This window comes from Homo sapiens, chromosome X (genome assembly GCF_000001405.40).
Source record: "Homo sapiens chromosome X, GRCh38.p14 Primary Assembly".
Classification (NCBI taxonomy): Eukaryota; Metazoa; Chordata; class Mammalia; order Primates; family Hominidae; genus Homo; species Homo sapiens.
Window position 1 is genome coordinate 154,295,566 of NC_000023.11, and position 21,823 is coordinate 154,317,388.

Here is a 21,823-nt window from a genome sequence, read left to right on the forward strand (position 1 = left end):
GAAGACCCTGCACCCGCGCGGAGGGAGCCCTTTTGAGATTGCAGGAGAGAAGATGAGAATGGGACTATTTTCAATAACTGTGCACATGCAAGTCACAAACATTCCAGATCCCTTGACTTGCTTGCGGAGGGAGCGGCCGGCGGAGGGAGCGGCAGGTGGAGGGAGTGGCACGAGGCATGCGGAGGGAGCTGCACCGACATCACATAAACGCACTGGGCAGCTCGCAGGCGCCATTCGCTCTTCAGACGCCGGAGACGTAGGAGTGGGTCTTCAGACTCCAAAGGGGTTGGACTAATGGCGGATGCTGAGGCGAGGGCTGAGTTCCCGGAGGAGGCCAGACCTGACAGGGGCACCTTGCAGGTGTTGCAAGATATGGCCAGCCGCTTGCGAATCCATTCCATCAGGGCCACATGCTCCACGAGCTCCGGGTAAGTTCTCCTCATTGAAGTCTGGGTCATGCAGGGCCACGGGCCCGGTGGCTTCAGGCCTGGTGGCCATGAGGCCGTGTGGTGAAGGGAGAGCCTTCAGAGGCACAATGGGCTGTGTCGTAATGCCCTGTCTTGGGCTGTTGGGGCCCGGTCGAGCACCCTAGATGGCAGCGAGGCACTATTCCCGCCAACCCAAGGGTCGGTCGGTTGGTTGGTCAGCCGCGGGTTCTGGAGCCCGCCCCTCAATTTACCCACGGCCAAAGTTCTGGAGGTCGCCAAGATCTCCAGTTGGGAGACAAAGGATCCAGACTGGACTGAGGTGGCGGGAGAATGTCACTGGGATCAGATTGGGCTAGCTGTGGTTTTCATTTTAGCGGGGAGCAGGGCTTCCCTGGTAAGCAGTTGTACTGGATCCCCGAGGGTGAATGAGCGACTCTAACCCAGGATGTGAGGATAAAAAGCAATTAAAATTCCAGCCTGGGCAACATGGCGAAACCCCGTCTCTTACCAAAAAATAAAAATAAAAAATGAGTCGGGCATGGGGGCGCACACCTGCACTCCCAGCTATTCGGGAGGCTTGCTTGTGCTGTTGGGTTTGCTGGTATGCAGTTGATGGTTTTTGCATCAGTTTGAGGGATATTGGTCTCTAGTTGTATTGTAGTATTTGGTTTTGGTATCAAAGTGTAATGCTGGCTTCATAGGATGTTTCAAAGTGTTCCATCTTAAATTTTTTGGAGTGGCTGGGTGTAGTGGCTGCCACCTGTAATCCCAAGCACTTTGGGAGGCCGAGGCAGACGGATCGTGTGAGCCTAGAAACTAGTTCGAGATCAGCCTGGGCAAGATGGCGAACCTCTGTACAAAATGTTACAAAAATTAGCTGGGCGTGGTGGCACGTGCCTGTAGTCCCAGCTACGCGGGAGGCTGAGAGGCTCAGGTTACAGTGAACTGAGATTGCGCCACCGCACTCCAGCCTGGGCAAGAGCGAGACCGTGCCTCAAAGAAAAAAAAGTTAAACCCAGCTGAGGGCGGTGGCTCACGCCTGCAGTCTCAGTACGTGGGGCCTGAGGAGGGAGGATCGCTTGAGCCCAGGAGTTCGCATTCAGCTTGGCAAACAGTGAGACCCTGTCTCTAAAAAAATAAAGTAAAAGAAACCGGGAATTGAGTACGAATTGGAACAAAAATGAGCTGTTGAATTTGCTAGTATGCGGTTGATGGTTTTTGCATCAGTATAAGGGATATTGGTCTACAGGTTTTTTTTGTTTTTTTTTTCTTTTTTTGTTTTGAGACGAAGTATCACTGTCGCCCAGGCTGGAGTGCAGTGGCACGATTTTGGCTCACTACAAGCTCCGCCTCCTGGGTTCACGCCATTCTCCTGCCTCAGCCTCCGGAGTAGCTGGGACTGCAGGCGCCCGCCACCACGCCTGGCTAATTTTTTCTGTTTTTTAGTGGAGACGGGGTTTCCCCGTGTTAGCCAGGATGGTCTCGATCTCCTGACCTCGTGATCCGCCCGCCTCGGCCTCCCAAAGTGCTGGGATTACAGGCGTGAGCCACCGCGCCTGGCCTGGTCTATAGTTTTGTTGTAGTATTTGCTTTTGGTATCAAAAGTGTAATGCTGGCTTCATAGGATGAGTTTCAAAGTGTTCCACCTTAAATTTTTTGGAGAGGTCGGGCGTGGTGGCTCCAACCTGTAATCCCAGGACTTTGAGAGGCCAAAGCAGGCGGATCGTGTGAGCCTAGAAAGTTCGAGATCAGCCTGGGCAAGATGGCAATCCCCTGTGCAGAATGTTACAAAAATTAGCTGGGCGTGGTGGCACGTGCCTGTAGTCCCAGCTACGCGGGGGACAGAGTTTGCAGTGAACTAAGATTGTGCCACTACGGCCTGGGGAACAGAGGAAGCGAGACCTTGTAGAGAAAAAAAAATTTTTTTTTGAGGAGTTTGAAGAAGACTGTTGTTAATTTTTCTTTAAATGTTTGGCAGTAATTACGAATGAGGCTTTTATTTATTGGGCGTTTTTTTTATTACTGCTTTAGTCTCCTTACTAGTTAGTTGTAGGTCTATTCAGATTTTCTTGTCCTGATTAAGTTTTGTGAGGCTTTCTGTTTCTAGGAATTTATCCATTTCTTGTAGGTTAGTCCATTTGTTGGCATGCAGTTATTCATAGTACACTGTCACTCTTTTTATTTCTGTAGAAGCGGTATTAATGACTCCACTTTAACTTGATTGTACTTTTTTTTTTTAAGCAGGGTCTTGCTCTTTCACCCAGGCTGGAGTGCAGTGGTGCAATCATAGTTCACTGCAGCCTCGAACTCTCGTGGGCTCAAGCGACTCTCCTTCCTCTCAGCCTCTTGAGTAGCTGGAACTACAGGTGCACACCACCATGCCCTGCCCATCTATTAATAGCTAGTTTTGTTGACCTTTTATAAAGAACCAGCTTTGGCTAGGGGAGGTGGCTCACGCCTGTAACCTCAGCACTTTAGGAGGCCGAGGCAGCTGGATCACTTGAGCTCAAGAGTTCAGGACAAGCCTGGGCAACATGGGGAAACCCCGTCTCTGCCAAAAATACAACAATTAGCTAGACATGGCGAGCACCTGTAGTCTCAGCTACTCGGAAGGCTGAGGCGGAAGGATTGCTTGAGGCTGCAGTGAGCCATGTTTGTGCCCTACACTCCAGCCTGGGTGACAAACTGAGACCCTGTCTCAAAAAGAAAAAAAAATTGGTTTCATTAAATTTTTTCTATTTTCTTAGTCTCTGTTTTATTTGTGCTTTGATCTTTTTTATTTCCTTTCTCCTGCTAGCTTTGGGTTTAGTCCTTACGTTGTAAAGTTAGGTTGTTGATTTGAAGGGTTATTTATTTATTATTATTTTTTGAGACAGAGTCTTGCTGTGTCGCCCAGGCTAGAGATGGGGTTTCTCCTTGTTGGCCAGGTTGGTTTCAGACCCCTGGCCTCAAGTGATCTGCCCGCTTCGGCTCCCAAAGTGCTGGGATTACAAGTGTGAGCCACCGCACCCGGCCAGATGTGAGGGGTTTTAAAAAATGTGTTTACAGCTAGAAATGTCCCACTTGGCACTGCTTTTGCTACATCACATAGGTTTTGGTATTTTGTACTTCTGTTTTCATTTGTCTCTAAGGGATTTTTCATTTTCTTTTTCTTTCTTTTTTTTTTTTTTTTTTTTTTTGAGACGGAGTTTTGCTTTTGTTGCCCAGGCTGGAGTGCAGTGGCACAATCTAGGCTTACCACAACCTCTGCCTCCCAGGTTCAAGCAATTCTCCTGCCTCGGCCTCCCAAGTAGCTGGGATTACACGCATGCACCTCCACGCCCAGCTAATTTTGTGTTTTTAGTAGAGACGGTGTTTCTCCATGTTGGTCAGGCTGGTCTCAAACTCCCGACCTCAGGTGATCCGCCCACCTCGGCTTCCCAAAGTGCTGGGATTACAGGCATGAGCCACCGCACCCAGCCTCTCATTTTCTTTTTTTAATTTTAATAGTGTTAGGGGTATAAGTTGTTTTTGCTTATGTGAATAAATTCTATATTGGTGAATTCTGAGATTTTAGTGTACCCATCACCCAAGCAGTGTACATTGTCCCCAATATGTAGTCTTTTATCCCTCACCTCCTTCCTACCTTCCCCCTTCATTCTCCTCCCCAAAGTCCGTTATATCACTCCAAAACTTAGCTCCACTTACAAGTGAAAACATACAGTATTTGGTTTTCTATTCCTGAGTTACTTCGCTTAAAATAATGACCTCCAGCTCCACCCAAGTTGCTGCAAAATACATTGTTTTTTATGGCTGAGCAGTATTCCATGTTGTATATACACCACCTTCTTTATCCACTCATTGGTTGATGGACACTTAGGTTGGTTCCTTATCTTTGCAATTGTGAATTGTGCTGCCTATAAACATGTGTGTGCATGTACCTTTTTCATATAATGACTTTTTTTCCTTTGGGTAGATAGCCAGTAGTGGAATTTCTGGATTGAATGGTAGATAGATGGTAATCTACTACTTTTAGTATTTTTTTTTTTTTTTTTTGTCTTGAGACGGAGTCTTGCTCTGTCGCCCAGGCTGGAGGGCAGTGGCGCAATGTTGGCTCACTGCAACCTCTGCTGTCCGGGTTCAAGCGATTCTCGTGCCTTAGCCTCCCGAGTAGCTGGGACTACAGGCACACGCCACCACTGCCAGCTAATTTTTGTATTTTTAGTAGAGACGGGGTTTCACCATGTTGGCCAGGCTGATCTCGGTCTCTTGACCTGGTGATCGCCTGCCTTGGCCTCCCAAAGTGCTGGGATTACAGGCGTGAGCCACCGTGCCCAGCCCGATGGTGTATTTTGATGGGAATTGCATTGAATCTGTAGATTGCTTTGGGCAGTATGGCCATTTTCACAATATTGATTCTTCCTATCCATGAGCATGAGATATCTTTGTTTGTGTCATCTGTGATGTCTTTCAGTAGTGTTTTGTAGTTTTTCTTGTAGCTGTCTTTCACCTCCTTGGTTAAGTATATTCCTAGGGTGGGTTTTATTTGTTGTTTTTGCTGTTTACAGCTGTTGTAAAAGGGATTGAGTTCTTGATTCTCAAGCTTGGTCGTTGTTGGTGTAGTGCTACTGATTTGTGTGCATTTATTTTGTAACCTGAGACTACTGAATTTGTTCATCAGATCTAAGAGTCTTTTGGATGAGTCTTTAGGATTTTGTTTGTTTGTGTTTGTTTGTTTGCTTGTTTTTGATGGAGTTTCTGTCACCCAGGCTGGAGTGCAGTGGCATGATCTCGGCTCGCTGCAACCTCCACCTCCCGGGTTCAAGCGATTCTCCTGCCTTACCCGAGTAGCTGGGACTACAGGTGTGTGCCACCGCACCCGGCAAATTTTTGTATTTTTGGTAGAGACAAAGTTTCACCAGACCATGGCCAGGCTGGTCTTGAACTCCTAACCTCAGGTGATCTGCCCATCTCGGCCTCCCAAAGTGCTGGAATTACAGATGTGAGCCAACCGCGCCTGGCCTAGGGTTTTCTAGCTGTATGATCGTATCATCAGTGTTACAGCACTAGTTTGACTTCCTCTTCTCCAATTTGGATGCCCTTTATTTATTTCGCCATTGGCTTTTGGTTGTGTAAGAGTGTGTTGCTTAATTTTCACAAATTTGTGAATTTTCCAGTTTTCCATCTATTATTGATTTCTAACCTCATCCCATTGTGGTTAGAGAAAATACTTAGTGCAATATGTTTTTTTAAATCTTGTTGGCCAGGCGCGGTGGCTCATGCCTGTAATCCCAGCACTTTGGGAGGCTGAGGTGGGGTGGATCACCTGAGGTCAGGAGTTTGAGACCAGCTTGGCCAACATGGTGAAACCCTGTCTCTACTAAAAATGCAAAAATTAGCCGGGCGTGGTGGTGCACCTCTGTAATCCCAGATACTTGGGAGGCCGAGGCAGGAAAATCACTTGAACCCGGAAGGTGGAGGTTGCAGTGAGCCGAGAGAGTGCCACTGTACTCCAGCCTGGGCAACAGAGTGAGACTGTGTCTCAAAAAATAAATAAATAAATCTTGCTCCAGAGCCTGGGCTAGATAGTAAGAGGACAGTGTGGATGCAGTTAAGAACCATATATGTCTGAATTTTTTGTACATGTTCATTTTGTTCCCTTCACCTTCAAAATTAGTAACAGATGGCTGCATTTTCTCAAGGGATCTGTGTGGCTTTTAAATCTAAATCATCCACTTACAGGACATTTGCAAAGCAAGAGGTTTTAGTCCCCATTTTCTTTCTTTTTTTTTTTTTTTTTAGTAGAGACGGGGTTTCTCCATGTTGGTCAGGCTGGTTTCGAACTCCCGACCTCAGGTGATCCGCCCACCTCGGCCTCCCAAGATGCTGGGATTACAGGCATGAGCCACTGTGCCCGGCCTAAGTCCCCATTTTCTTTTTTCTTTTTTTTTTTTAAATGAGACAATTATTTATTTTAGGCAGATAGTCAACTTAAAAATCATTCAGCGTGGGCACTCCTGAAACTGTCAGGATCATGTTGGTTTCCTCGCTGTTTGCCGGCTATTGGCATTTGTGTCATCACACACAGTCCGATGAGGTGACAACAGAAAAGCATATCTCACTTCTATCGTAGGTTTCCATTCACTTTCGGGTTCTCAATCGCCCTGTGTTTCCTCAGTGATACTCCAGACTTTCCAGATGTTCTGGTTGACCCATTCCTCTTTCTTTTTTTTTTGCAAAACAAAGCAAAAAGCAAGAAGAGAACTTTACATTTTGTCCAATAGTCCTAAGAAATTTTCCCTGTAGAGAATGTCATCTAAGTCAAAACAAGGGTTGAATAGGGGCACCCAAATCAGTTATCACTTAGGGCTGTTATAAGAAATGCCAAGACTGGGTGGCTTAAACAGCAGATATTCGTCTCTCACTGTCTGGAGGCTACAAATCCAAGATCAAGGTGCTAGCATGGTCAGTTCTGGCGAGGACCTGCTACTGGGCTCAAGAGCACTACCTTCCCCCCCGTATCCTCACATGGTCGGTCTCCAGCCTCTTCTCATAAAGGCGCTGATCCCATTCATGAGGGCTCCACTCTCACAGCGTAATCACCTCCCAAAGGCCCTGCCTCCAAATACTGTCACACTGGCATTAGGATTTCAGCATAGGAATTCTGGGGGGACACATTCAGTCCATGGCCTCCCGTACCTGTGAATGTGATCTTATTTGGAAATAGGGTTTTGTAGGTGAAATTAAGTTAAGGATCTTGAGATAAGATCATCCTGGACTTAGGGTGGACCCTAAATCCAGTGACTAGTGTCCTTATAAGAGAAAGAAAAGAGAGATTGGAGACACACAGACACCGTGGAGAAACGCAGGAGAAAAGGTCCTGTGAAGGCAGAGAGGCAGGGACGGGAGTGACCCAGCTGCAAGACGAAGAACACCTAGGGCCAGCAGTAGCTGGAGAGGCAGGGGCGAGGGCGATCCTCCCCTAGGACCTAGGGAGAGAGCGTGGCCCTGCTGCCACCTGGATTCTGGATTTCTGTTTTGAGCCATCACGTTTGTGGCAACTCACCCTGGCAGGCTTAGGAAACGAATGCGTTAACCCATTGCATTAGCGCACAAAATAACACCCTGACTCGTTTCCTGCGCCAGCCTCCTACCTTGCCTTCTACTTATTAGACCCTACCTCTCATTCCCCATTTTTTAAAATTTTTATTTATTTATTTATTTATTTATTTATTTATTTATTTATTTATTTATTTTGAGGCAGGGTTTCACTCTGTTGCTCAGCCTAGAGGTGCAGTGGCGTGATCATGGCTCACTACAGCCTTGACCTCCTGGGCTTAAGCAACCCTCCCACCTCAGCCTCCCAAGTAGCTTGAACTGCAGGTGCATGCCACCCTGCCCAGCTAATTTTTTTTTTTTTTTTTTTTTTTTTTTTTTTTGGAAAGACGAGGTTTCACCATGTTGCCCATGCTGGTCTCAAACTCCTGGGCTCAAGCAATCCTCCTGCATCATCCTCCAGAAGAGCCGGGATTACAGGTGTGAGCCCCCACGCCTGGCCTCTCCCTCCTTTTTATCATTCCCTCTTCCCTCGTCTTCCTTGGCTTTCCTCCTCACACCTCCTGCGTTTGGCCCCCTTCCATTTTCTTTTCTGCTTCTCTTTCCCAACTTCCCCCTCATCATGCCAGGGGGACTCCTGGGCTGCGTGCCACCCCCCTGGAAGTCCCCCATAATGAAGCAGGATTTATGCCTCACACTTCACCATGGGAGAGCAGAAACCTCTCACTTGAAGCAAAAGGCACTGAAAATAAGCAAATAGTTATGCATTTGTCACTACCGAGTCCTAGCTGGCTTCCACCCTACCCCCCGCCCCCCACCATCTTCTTGCTCATTCAGGTCATCGTGTTCTCTGATACCCAGTAACTTCCATCATTTTCTACATGCATTTCTGTTGGTCTTCTGAGAATTGTGATTTTCCAAAGTAGAAAGGGCACATCGTCTTTTTGGAGCCTCAAAGGTGCAGACACTGATGCGTTGGGGGAGATCACAGTGTGACAAGGATGGGGTGGGAGTGTGTCACCCCCCTTTCTACCGACCCTCAGCAGTGGGGAGAGAGCAGAGGAGATGGAACCTGAGAGGAAGAAGAGATTTCCAATTACTTCCTTCTCGGTCCCTTCTCCACTGAAGCCTGTTACTCCTCTGCTGCCGGGGCCTCTTGAGTTTTCTCTCACTGAGCCAGGAAAGAGCTTAGTGAATAAAGAACAAGGTATCCCAGCAATGCAGGGAAGATGTCCAGGACAGTGAGTGTGAACGAGGGGTCCTGGAGAATGTGCACGCCAGCCCTGCAGGAGAATGTCCACGCCAGCCCTGCAGCCTGGTGGGCTCTGCCATCAGCACCCCAAAACCATTCATCAGTCACCTTCGACAATTGCACGTGCAAAAGCCCTCTTTTTGTGTCCTTTGAAGCTTTTTTTTTATCAGGCTGGGTGCGTGGCTCATGCCTGTAATCCCAGCACCTTGGGAGGCCGAGGCGGGAGAATCACTTGAGCCCAGGAGGTCGAGGCTGCAATGAGCTATGATCATGCCACTGCACTCCAGCCTGGGTGACAGAGTGAGGGCCCATCCCTTCGCGGGTCCCCATTAAGAAAATGGGGGAGGGACAGTCCCCATTTTCTTAATGGGGACTTTCTTAGTGAAATTTGAAATGAGAGATTATTAATATGAGCTGGGCCTAACATCTTTTTTTACTTGCAGTTGGGGCAGAGCTCCAGGGAGTTGGTTTTGTCCCCTGCTGTCTTGTCCCCTCCCCCTTTTTAATTAATTAGGGCCTGGCTGGACTCACATGCAGGCCGCTTTCTAAGAGCAGCAGTTACTTTGGCAGCATTCAGAAAGGGCCTCAGTTACTCTACCATGACAAATTTCTCAGTCTGTCACCGTTCACTTCCTAAAAGAAATTCATTGTAGAAGGTAGAATGGGATCTTCATGGCATTTCTGATTCACAATGCTCCTGAAAGTTCCTCGGCATGTGGAAAGGCCACAGATGAATTTAAGCATGTGAAAGAATACTCATGTCAGAGGCACAAAGGAAACTTGCCCCGAGTCCACGGTGCTCTGCGGTTAGGAGCTGGCCTCACTGTGCACAGGGGGAGGGGTGGTGAGCTTACCGGGCTTTAAAGCGCCCTTCCAACCTGTGAGCCCTGCATTCCTTACCCTTGGTTGGATTCTTCCCGGGCTGGGAGAAATGACCGCTTCTATGAGGAGACCATGTGCCGAGGTCGTGTGCTAGGAAGCCAGTTGCTGTGAGAAATGACCAGTGTCATGTCTGTCTTTCAGCCACCCTACATCATGTAGCAGTTCTTCTGAGATCATGTCTGTGCTGTTCTTCTACATCATGAGGTACAAGCAGTCAGATCCAGAGAATCCGGACAACGACCGATTTGTCCTCGCAAAGGTATGCCGGTGGGGAGCCCAGGGCTGCTGTGGCGCCTGCTGGTTAAGCCCAGTTTGAACAGCCACCGTGTGGGAACAAGGCCTGAAATGGGCCTCGTTTATTATTTTGGTTCTTCTTTCTTTGCATCTTAAAGCTCGAGTGTTCTAGTGAGGGCCACTTGGAGCCCTGTGATGGCATGGTAGGAAGGGTGGCTTGGGAGAGCTGACTGTCCTTCCTTTCCTTTGGTCACACCCTGCCTCGCCCCACTTAGCACGAACGCTTCCCCCATGGCAGGGTTATGCTGCTCCCACCCTCTGTGCTGCCTGAGGAGAGGCAGGCAGCCTCAGTGAATCCCACTCACTGAGCCTGGGGGAACTTGAGTGTAACCGGGAGGGACATCCCACCCCTGTCAGTTAGCTTCCTCTTCTATGTTTCTGCACATCTGACCTGAAACTGATGGGCACTTCTCATGAGATTGGGCAAAATACCAGCCACTTCATGAAGTATCATGGGTGATAGGAAAGAAAAAGAACCTTAAAAACAAGGTCAGTTTGAGAATGTGTGGCTGGTTTGATGCCATCTCAAAGTACACTGTGTCCCGAAGCAAATTAAAACCTGGCTAGGGGCCGGGTGCAGTGGCTCACGCCTGTACTCCCAGCACTTTGGGAGACTGAGGTGGGTGGATCACTGGAGGCCAGGAGTCCGAGACCAGCCTGGTCAACATAGCAAAACTCCGTCTCCACTTAAAAAAAAAAAAAATTAGCTAGGCATGGTAGCACATGCCTCTAATCCCAGCTTTTCGGGAGGCTGAGGCACAAGAATTGTTTGAAGCTGGGAGGCAGAGGTTACAGTGAGCCGAGATCGTGCCACTGCACTCCAGCCTGGGCGATAGAGCAAGACTCCATCTCAAAAGAAAAATCTGGCTGGGTAGAGTACTGTGTCCAAATAGAAATGCCAGATTAGCACAGTGGGAAGTGAAGACAAAAACTGGGCATAGCTGAAGTAAGTGCCTAAAGGTCATAATTGTGACCCTTGTCTTGGTGTCTGAACCATAACATCAAATGGTTTGGCAAAAAATAAATAGAATTTACATGTGTACGCGCATGTGTGGAGAGAGGGATGAAGTAAATGCCTTCCATTGCTTTCAGTTGGTTATTGGAGGTAAGCAGTATACAGGAAGGAAATCATTGTGCTAGGCTTTAAACATGTCTATAAACTTGAACTTTTTTTACATCTTTTTTTGTTCTTTTTTTGGGGAGGTAGAGTCTCGCTCTTGCCCAGGCTTGAGTGCAGTGGCTCGGTCTCAGCTCAATGCACCCCTGACCTCCTGGCCTCAAGCGATCTTCCCATTTCAGCCTCTTGAGTAGATGGCATTACAGGCATGTGCCACTACGACCGGCTAATTTTTGTATTTTTTGTAGAGACATGGTCTCACTATGTTGCCCAGGCTGGCCTCAAACTCCTGGGCCCAAGCGCCCACCTCTGCCTCCCAAAGTGCTGGGATTACAGGCAACAAGCCACCGCTTCCAGCCCTCTTTACAATGAAAATTGAAAAAAAAATAGATATATAAACGCAATATGGGTGTTTAGATTTCTGGTTTAAAATAAGGAAAGGCTGGGTACAGTGGCTCACACCAGTGCTTTGGGGGCTCCAGCAGGAGGATCTCTTGAGACCAGCCTGGGCAACATAGCAAGACCCCAGTGTCTACAAAAAATACGAAAATTAGCTGGGCGTGGTGGTGCGTGCCTGCAGCTACTCAGGAGGCTAAGGTGGGAGGATCACTTGAGCCTTGGGAGATAGAGCAAGACCCTGTCTCAAAAAAAAAGAAAAATCTAGACTGTCATATAACAGCTGCTATCAGAGCCATTGGCCTTAGGGGATGAAGAGGCTTTCTATCGGGCAGCAGCACACCAGGCCCTGTTCGGCTGCCAGAATTTGTGTGTTCATCAGATTTAGCTGGCTGATGAAATTGGAACAAAAGAGAAAACACATGAAGCATAGTCCATTGTGGTTTGCCTGGGAACGGGGTAAACAGCTATACTCCAGGCAGAGCAGATCTTTATTCTAGCCTTTCACCTCCCTGAATCGTCTGCCCCGCAGCATAAGGGTTCTTGAGAAAGACAGCACCCATGTGGGAGCACTTCTGCCATAACGGGCATCATACTGATGCCTCACCATTTTCTCAATCTATCCTCACTTTATCCTTGACCTCCTGTCACCTAAGGGGGCTCTGGTCTCCATTGCACCCATAAAGTCTTTGAGATGGGCCCACTGGCCTCACACTTCACAGCCAGAGGGAAGCAGAGTTGGTCTGACTGCTGAGCCCAGGCTCGGTCCATTATGTTATAGGACTTCCAAGGGCATGCAAGGCGACTGGGAGCCAGAGCTTGTTACGTGAGTGTGGTGGGTGCCATAGGGAGGGAGATGTGGCTAGAGGCATAGTCAAAAGAGACTTGAGTTGAGTGGGGCAGTTCTGCTGGGCTGGAAATGCAGAACCAAAAGGGAGTCTCTGGGGGGCACAAAGCATGCAGAGAATTCCGGGGAAGGTCAAGAGCAACCAGAGAGTAGCAGAGGGTAGGAAGCAAGAAGCAGGAGATCAGAGAATCGTAAATACCATCCATCCATCTACAGTAGTGATGACCTCGCTCATCTCTGCTCGAATGGCGCTGACGTTTGAGCAGAGGAGGGTGACAGGCAGGAAACAAACTTTTAAGTCAATAGATGGAGTGTCAGGTGGGGCCAAGCATCTGGAATCAAGTAAAAGTGGAGGAGGTAGGAGGCACTGGTTGAAAAAGAGTGGTCCAGAAAGACCTCAGTGCTGACGCTTGAGCAGGGATTTGGAAGAGGCAGGAGAGTGAGCTGTGCCCACATCCACGCACAAGCACTCCGGTAGTGGGTGCCATGAGTGCTAAGGCCCTGAGGCAGGTGTATGCCCACTGTGTTCAAGGAGCAGCAAGGAGGCCAGGGTGCCAGAGCAGTGGAAGGGAGAAATGGAGGTGATGGGGGCTGGGGTGGGCAGACAGGTGCAAACAGTTGAGCTCTACTTGGTGGGAGGTCGGAAGACCTTAGAAAGTTGAGCGATGTGATCAGTCAACTTCAGTTTTAACAGGCTCCCCCTTGTGGCTAGATTGAGAATGGCTGTGGGGGAGGCTGGGAGGCCACTGCAGTGACAGAGGCAAGGGATGTTTAAGACCAGGTCGAAATGGTGGCTGCAGAAGCTGTTGGGTAAATTCAGTATGCTTGCAAGTTGGGCCTCTCCAGTCAGTGCAGCAGCTCTTTGGCATGACCTTGTGGCCCACAGAGGGCCACATTTTCTGCTTGGGATAGTGATGACCCTGTGCCTGCAAACAGGATGTTGGGGGTGGGGTAGATGCTAGTAGAAAGGGATTCATTTCTAGCGTGGGCACTTCTAGATGAGCACGTGTAAGATCTCAGTTGACCTGAGTTTTATAAACCAGGGAACCAGAGTATTCTCTTTCTGGTTTCTGTTTTAAGAATCCATATCCTCCATAGGATTGAACATGTGATTTGTGCATGACCGGGAAGGGCCATGGGAAAATGTCAAGAATCATACTTTACGTTTTCTGCTTTGTACTTGGGCTCCCCGTCTCTATTCCCAAAGCTCCAGCCACCCTTGCCATACTGTATGGATTACCTATGACTCCCTGGGCAGGGACAGTGGATGTCTTCGTCACCTTAGTCACCTGAGTTTCCAGCCCAGGCTGAGCCCTGGGCTTGACCCATTTTCCACTTGTAACGTTGATCGGAAGCTTGGGGTGCATATGGGTGTGGGGAAGAGGAATTCACCCAGCAGGGCGGGAGGGGCTGTTCGGATGGGACGCTGCTACAGAGCTGACAGGAGCAGCCTGCACTCAGTGCGTGAGTCCACCTGATACCATGTCCTGCAGCTGCGTCTGGGCTCACTGGGTCCCTTCTCTTACAGAGACTGTCGTTTGTGGATGTGGCAACAGGATGGCTCGGACAAGGACTGGGAGTTGCATGTGGAATGGCATATACTGGCAAGTACTTCGACAGGGCCAGGTGAGGTTCTTCCCCAGAAGCCATTTAACTGCCCTACATCTACATCCCCTTCCTAGAGTCTCGGGGGGCAGCCACCTATCTCCGTGATGTGGAGAGCCCTGAAGGGCCAGTCCCCATCACATCCCGTGGTGACCCCTCTGGAAGGCCTTCCCTGTGCCTTTTCCCCACCTCGGGCGGCTGCCCCACTTTCTCTCCCACAGGTCTGTTGAAAGGTTTCAGCTGCTGTTGCCTTTCCATTCTTATCCTAGGGTTGATAGCTTTTTTAAAACTTCCAGCACTTTAGTGGGGTCTGGGATGTGTGGTTTGTTTTTGAGACTGAGTCTCACTCTGTGGCCAGGCTGGAGTGCAGTGGCATGATCTCGGCTCACTGCAACCTCTGCCTCCCAGTTTCAAGTGATTCTCCTGCCTCAGCCTCCTGAGTAGCTGGGATTACAGGCATGCACCACCATGCCCAGCTAATTTTTGTATTTTTGGTAGAGATGGGGTTTCGCCATGTTGGCCAGGCTGGTTTCAAACTCCTGACCTCAGGTGATCCACCTGCCTTGGCCTCCCAAAGTGCTGGGATTACAGATGTGAGCCACTGTGCCTGGCCAGATGTGTTTTCTTGATGCGAACACTCACGTCGTTGGTTGTGGAGGAATTTACTTCACAGCAGAACACGTTTCCAAGGTGGGGTGTTTTGATTGTTGTGATTATTGTAAATAAGTTGTAAGAACAGAACTAGCAGGTGGCGGCGGGAGGCGGTGGCTCACGCCTGTAATCCCAGCACTTTGGGAGGCCGAGGTGGGCGGATCGCCTGAGGTCAGGAGTTCGAGACCAGCCTGGCCAACATGGCGAAACCGCCTCTCTACTAAAAAATACAAAAACTAGCTGGGCATGGTGGCGTGGGCCTGTAGGCAGGAGAATTGCTTGAACCCGGGAGGTGGAGGTTGCAGTGAGCCAAGATCACGCCACTGCACTCCAGCCTGGGTGATGGAAACTCTGCCTCAAACAAACAAACAAAAAAATTAGAAGGTGGCAATGCTTTAAAAGGGAACTTACCAGAAAAATGAATGTGTAAATGTTTGGGGAACTTAAGGATGCTGCTTTCTTCCCCTTCCCCTCTGGCCCTGTTTGCTTATTGATAAGGAAATGTGGCAGAAGAACCTAAAAGTTGCTTTACAGCTAGAACAGAAAACTAGCCAGAGGTAAAGCCTGCTTGTGAGCCCCCAGGCTTTTCAAGCTCGGCTTTCTTAGCTGCTGGGCTGGGGCAGAGTTGATGAGGGAGATTGTGGGAAGCGAATGGTCTGGAGCAGCAGCTCCAGTTGCGTCCGTTTCTCCTCCTGAAATGCATTTGTTTGGTTGGCCCAGATGATCCCCCACAGGGTCCTAAACCTCTCTTGTCTTGCTCCAGCTACCGGGTGTTCTGCCTCATGAGTGATGGCGAGTCCTCAGAAGGCTCTGTCTGGGAGGCAATGGCCTTTGCTTCCTACTACAGTCTGGACAATCTTGTGGCAATCTTTGATGTGAACCGCCTGGGACACAGTGGTGCATTGCCCGCCGAGCACTGCATAAACATCTATCAGAGGCGCTGCGAAGCCTTTGGGTAACTGTATTCTCTTGTGCTTGATTTCCATTCTGTCCTGCCCCCTTCATCTCTTGTAACCCAGCCTGCTCCTCTGTTGGCAGGTGGAACACTTATGTGGTGGACGGCCGGGACGTGGAGGCACTGTGCCAGGTATTCTGGCAGGCTTCTCAGGTGAAGCACAAGCCCACTGCTGTGGTGGCCAAGACCTTCAAGGGCCGGGGCACCCCAAGTAAGCAAGCACTTTCCTCCTGCTCCTGGTTGTTAAAAGCATCTGTCCGCTCAGCAGCAGAGGCGGGAGAGGCTTAGAGGGGCCTAGGCAGATGACTCATTTAGTGAATAGCAGTTCTGCCTGGAGTATATGTTGGAGGCTCCTGCTCTCTTATTTTCACTAGCTAGTGTCTGCTTAGGATAGGAGATATCAAAAGCCCTAGCAGGTGAACAGTGATGTGCTGCCTGCACAAGGGAGTGGCTAGGAGTACAGCCCATCGGAGGACTGACAGGGAACAATCTCTACGGTTAGTAGAATCAGAAAGCGTGCTGTGTGTATGAGCAGGTGCAAGAAATAAGAGTGCATACCTACACACGTGCCTAGGCCCACACTCTTCTGGAAGAACCCTGGGAATTGGGGAAGACGGGAGCTTGGAATCACCAACTATCACATTTCAAGGCTGACAGCTGAAATTGTTTATCTCAGGTTTAACTCATCACAAAGAGTGCGGCTCCTGGATTTTTTTAAAAGACTATAGACATTTTAGAATAAAACTGTTCTGTGACTCCTACCGAAAATATAGTTTTACTCTGGTACCCTCCGTTCAGTAAATTATTTTACCAGTGTGCTCCTGGCAGGACCCTGGGTGTTGTCCTTGCCTCTGCCTCCCCCTCATATGCCCACACATAGACCCAGTCCCCTAGATTACATCTTGGACCCATTCACTCCTCCCCATCTCTACTACCATGACTGTTGCCACACCCATCATCTCTCCCAAAGTTCCAGCTGGCCTCCCTCCACACCAGTCTCTACACTGCTGCCACAGTGATCTTTCTACAGTGGATCTGATCAGTCACTTTCCCCACTCCAAACCCTTCAATGGTTTCCAATCTTGCTTTGGATAAAACTCAAACTTCTCATACCCACAAGACCCACCCTCCATGGTCTGCCCTACCTGTCTCTCCAGCCTTATTCTCATTCTCCCTTCCACTCACCAGTGGCCCTCAGGGGCATAGCTAGGTGCAATGGCTTGCACCTGTAATCCCAGCTACTTAGGAGGCGGAGGCGGGAGGATCACTCGAGCCCGAGGAGTTGGAAGCTGTGGTGAGTTATGATCACCCACTGCACTCCAGCTTGGGGAGGAGTCATAGCGTGAGACCCCTGTCTCAAAACAAAAAGCCTCAGGGCCTTTGTCCAAGCTGTTCTCTCTGGCTGCAGCAGCGTCCCAGGCCCTCTGTGCCAGGTGTTCCTCCTGTGAGTCCTAGGGTGACATCTTTTTCATCGGGGTCTGTTTTTCAGGTGACCTCATAGGCACTCACTAAATATTTATGGAATGGATGTCTTTTGTTTGTTTCATTACAGGTATTGAGGATGCAGAAAGTTGGCATGCAAAGCCAATGCCGAGAGAAAGAGCAGATGCCATTATCAAATTAATTGAGAGCCAGATACAGACCAGCAGGAATCTTGACCCACAGCCCCCCATTGAGGACTCACCTGAAGTCAACATCACAGATGTAAGGATGACCTCTCCACCTGATTACAGAGTTGGTGACAAGGTAGGCAGAAAGGTGGATAATTGAATAAATCAGATACGTCAACTGCTTTGTTCTCTAATGTTGTTCGTATGTACACAGGATTCTTCATTTATTCTGGTCTCCATGGACGAACCAATTACTAGAGTGACATGTAACTAACAGTTCGTAGGCAATAAAGAGAGGTTTGCCATTTTTAAAAAATACATTTAGGGGTCCAAAGTGCAGCTGTGTCACGTGGATAGATACTGTGTAGTGGTGAGGTCTGGGCTTTCAGTGCACCCAGCATCGGAGTAGTGGACATTGCACCCAGTAGGTACTTGATCTTTCACCACTCCTGGCTCCCCTTCTCTTTTATTAGGTCTGATTTTTATTTTTGGCTTTCACATGTGTGTCTGAATTTTCTGATTGGTCAATTGCTATTTATTAGCTCCTGGTGTGGTGTGCCTTTTTCTAGCTTCCTAACTTTGGTTTGTGCATGAAACTGCCACGACTCTGTGTCTCCGCTAAGAAGACTGGCCCCAGGCGGGCTGACCTTTTGAACTTACTCTCTGAATTACACAGAGGAGCAGGCCAATTCATCAGAAACCTCAAAAAGGAATCAAATGATGCACAAAACTCTTGAGTATCAAGTCCTTTTGGTTTTTAGCACCTTTACATCCTGCCTTCTGGTATATCATAGCAGACCTGACATAGGCAAGTTCTTTATGGCCTAGAGGAAGTAAGGCGGCGAGCCTAGGGAGGAAGGACACACTTTCTGATCCTTCTTTATTTGGAGAAATTTTGAGTGTTGCTCATGTTTTCTTAGCCTGGTAATGAGGGTTAAAAATAAATGAATTTTGAATACTTGAGAAATCAAAAGACAAAAACCAGAAGAAAGGAGACGGTATATCAACAAAGGGTGGGCCAGGCACAGTGGCTCACTCCTGTAATCCCAGCACTATCAGGAGGCCAAGACAGGAAGACCACTTGAGCCCAGGAGTTCAACACTAGCCTGGGCAAAGTAGTGAGACCCCATCTCTACATAGAATTTAAAAATTATCCAGGCATGGTGCCATAATATGGTTCCAGGTACTCTGGAGGCTGAGGCAGGAGAATCACCTGAGTCCAGGAGTTTGAGGGGATAGTGAGCTATGATTGGGCCACTGCACTCCAGCCTGGGCAACGGAGCGAGACTCTGTCTCAAAAAAAAAAAAAAAGTTTGAGAAAACTATATAACTCCATAGTTGCATAATTGGTATGAAAATGTGTAAAAAGCGGGGGGACCATTTTTAGGAATACATAAAATATCAAAATTGACTAAAAGAGGTATAAAAACCTTAAATGGATCAATAGCCCTAGAAAAAAATGGAGAAAATTATCCAAGTGCTATACCCCCAAAGCACCAGGCTCACCAGGTTATATAAGACTGACTCATTTTTAACCTTTATGAAAAGAGTAATTTCTAAACTGTTTCAAATTTTTCCAAATACGGAGGAAGATGAAAATGTCATCCCGATTTACTTATGAAGCGAAAATGTGACAAAGCTAGCCTAAAGAAAACTGCAGAGCAACTTTCTTTATGAATACCAATATAAAAATTCTAAATAGAACATTAGCCCATCTCAACTTCATTAGTACATTAAAAAAATTAAATGAATCAGTGAGCTCAAATTAGTAATGCAGATGACTCATGCCAGGAGATGTAGGAATAGAATTCAGTGTTCTAGTGTTAGGTTAAAGGAAGGAGGGAAGTGTGATCATCATCATACACACTAAACAAAAGCAATTCATAAAACTCAACATTTTTTTTTTGAGATGGAGTCTCGCTCAGTCACCCAGGCTGGAGTGCAGTGGTGCAATCTCGGCTCACTGCAACCTCTGCCCCCGGATTCAAGCGATTCTCCTGCCTCAGCCTCCCAAGTAGCTAGGATTACAGGCTCCCGCCATCATGCCCAGCTAATTTTTGTATTTTTAGTAGAGACGGGGTTTCACCTTGTTAGCCAGGCTGGTCTCGAACTCCTGACCTCAGGTGGTCCACCTGCCTCAGCCTCCCAAAATGCTGGGATTACAGATGTGAGCCAGCACACCTGGCCAAGTAATTTGAAAAATATAATGAGAACCATTAATGTCGGAAATCTCACTCTTGAGCTGTGGAGTGTTTACCTGCTTAGGAAGTGGGGGTTGGGGGAGCGGGGGATGTTAACTAAAAAGAGCACAATTTGAGAAAAACTTGGGTGCCACATCAGCCATTTAGTATGGATTTAAGATTGGCTAGCAGTCCATGTTTATGACATTAAAGGAAATTTTTGGTGAGTCACGAATTTACTTTCTTCAAGATAGATGATAATTTGTCATTCTACAATATGGTACCTTCCTTCTGTAGTCGTTCCTTCTAAATGCATTTGAAGAAACTCTACCACCTGATTGTCTCTGTCTTCTAGATAGCTACTCGGAAAGCATGCGGTCTGGCTCTGGCTAAGCTGGGCTACGCGAACAACAGAGTCGTTGTGCTGGATGGTGACACCAGGTACTCTACTTTCTCTGAGATATTCAACAAGGAGTACCCTGAGCGCTTCATCGAGTGCTTTATGGCTGAACAAAACATGGTGAGTGTGTAGTGTCTCTCAGGGCTTCTTAGAATCAATGGCCCACTGGACACAGGAGGCCCAGCCTGTGCTAGTTTTTCTTTCCATTTATGAAAGCAAAAGGACTGGAAAAAAATTTCCTGGGAAGCAGGAGGCAAGTAGCCAGGTGGAGTCTGAGAGGTGGCTTCTAGGTCTGCTAGGAGGGCCGTAATAGACTACTCGGCACTTGGAGTCTCCAAGTTGGCTGAGGGCAGCAGGCCCAAGGCCACAGACAGTGGGTCCTCTGAGCCTCGAACCATCTGAACCCAGGGCTCTGGGCCTGAAGCATCCCAGGCTCCCTAGTAGCTCCTTCTGCCCAATTCTGCAACCACCCAGAGGCACACTGGCTGAGGAGTCACAGGGAATGCAGAGTTTCCTTCTCTCCACTGTAGAGGGGCCTAATATAGCACAGAAATGCAAATGTTGCACTTACTTCAATCACAAGAATATCAATGCTTAGAGCTGGTGCCTTAGGCAAAGCCATTCTGCTTATCTATGCCTCAGTCTCTCCCCAGAGTGATATTAATGCAGGGAGTATCTCAAGCACATGCACACAAGCGCACCCCTCTGGAGAGGAAGGAGTTATGGCCAGTAAACCCTTTGAACTCTAAAGCTCTGCGCGTCATAGAAGATGATGCCCAGCTCCTGTCATTAGGCCAGAAAACCACAGGCCAGCAGGTCTTATGTGACCACCAGTGACTTTATTTATAACAAGTAGTATTTTTAAAAAAAATTTTTTTAGACGAAGTCTCGCTCTGTCGCCCAGGCTGGAGTGGAGTGCTCAGCTCACTGCAAGCTCCGCCTCCTGGGTTCACGACATTCTCCTGCCTCAGCCTCCCAAGTAGCTAGGACTACAGGTGCCCACCACCACACCCGGCTAATTTTTTGTATTTTTTAGTAGAGACGGGGTTTCACTGTGTTAGCCAGAGTGGTCTCAATCTCCTGACCTCGTGATCCGTCCGCCTCGGCCTCCCAAAGTGCTGGGATTACAGACATGAGCCACCGCGCCCAGCCAGTATTTTAAATTTTTTAAAAATTAGTTGCCAGCATTTAAAAATCAGATTATAGGTGTAGTGGCACCAGCCTGCAGTCCCAGCTACTCGGGACTCTAAGGCAGGAGGATGCTTGATCCCAGGACTTAAACGCTGCAATGTACCACTGCATTCCAGCCTGTGAAACAGCGAGACCCCATCTCAAAAAAGAAAAAGAATCAGGAGGTCTTATATAGAATACATATTTCTGGATTCTTTTGAAAAATGGGAAGAACTACTACCATAGGGTGGCATTCCCTCCTGACGCCAGTTGACTGAAGCCAAACAGCACCCCTGTTGAGATGGGTGTCCCCACAGCTCCCCATGCTCTGCTGGGCCATTTGGGTTTTTTGTTGTTTTGTGGTTTTTGGTTTTTTTTTGGGGGTTTTTTTTTTTTGAGATGGAGTCTCTCTCTCTCTCTCACCGAGGCTGGAGTGCAGTGGCACGATCACAGCTCACTGCAACCTCTGCCTCCCAGGTTCAAGCGATTCCCTTGCCTCAGCCTCGCAGGTAGCTGGGATTACAGACATGCGCCACCATGCCTGGCTAATTTTTGTGTTTTTAGTGGAGACAGGGTTTCACCATGTTGGTCAGGCTGGTCTCCAACTCCTGACCTCAGGTGATCTGCCTGCCTCAGCCTCCCAAAGTGCTGGGATTACAGGTGTGAGCCCCCGAGCCTGGCTCATTAAGCTGTTTTCATTTTGAATAGAAAACAATGCGATCCGTAATTTTCTGGATTAATGCTCCTGTCAAAAATTTTGCTCCCCACCTCACTGATTGCCTCAGCACGCAGCCATGTAGTCTACTCCGTCCCTGCTGATATGTTCTCACAGTTGGAAAAAAGTTGTAAAGAAAAGGCGAGCAGGTGGTATTTAGTGCCATGTTGAAAGAGGTGGCTACAATGTAGAGCTTGACCAGGGGCAGTCAGGGACAACCTCTCAGAAAAGGTGATACTTAAGCTGAGTCTCAGGTGACGAGGGGTCAGCCGTGTGCAGATGTGGG

General features: G+C 48.3%; 1 protein-coding gene across 3 annotated transcripts in view; it reads left to right on the forward strand.

The window, feature by feature from the left end:
• TKTL1 (transketolase like 1) overlaps positions 230 to 21,823 on the forward strand; it is a 34,556-nt gene continuing 12,962 nt past the window's right edge. The window contains exons 1-7 of one of the 3 annotated variants that reach the window (NM_012253.4): positions 230 to 428; positions 9,739 to 9,856; positions 13,780 to 13,877; positions 15,271 to 15,462; positions 15,546 to 15,673; positions 17,015 to 17,208; positions 19,608 to 19,772. In NM_012253.4, coding sequence (NP_036385.3) covers positions 295 to 428; positions 9,739 to 9,856; positions 13,780 to 13,877; positions 15,271 to 15,462; positions 15,546 to 15,673; positions 17,015 to 17,208; positions 19,608 to 19,772 — 1,029 coding nt within the window. In that variant the 5' untranslated portion in view covers positions 230 to 294. Of the gene's footprint in view, positions 429 to 9,604; positions 9,857 to 13,779; positions 13,878 to 15,270; positions 15,463 to 15,545; positions 15,674 to 17,014; positions 17,209 to 19,607; positions 19,773 to 21,823 lie in introns of those variants that run through there. The other 2 variants (NM_001145933.2, NM_001145934.2) reach the window with 2 other exon arrangements.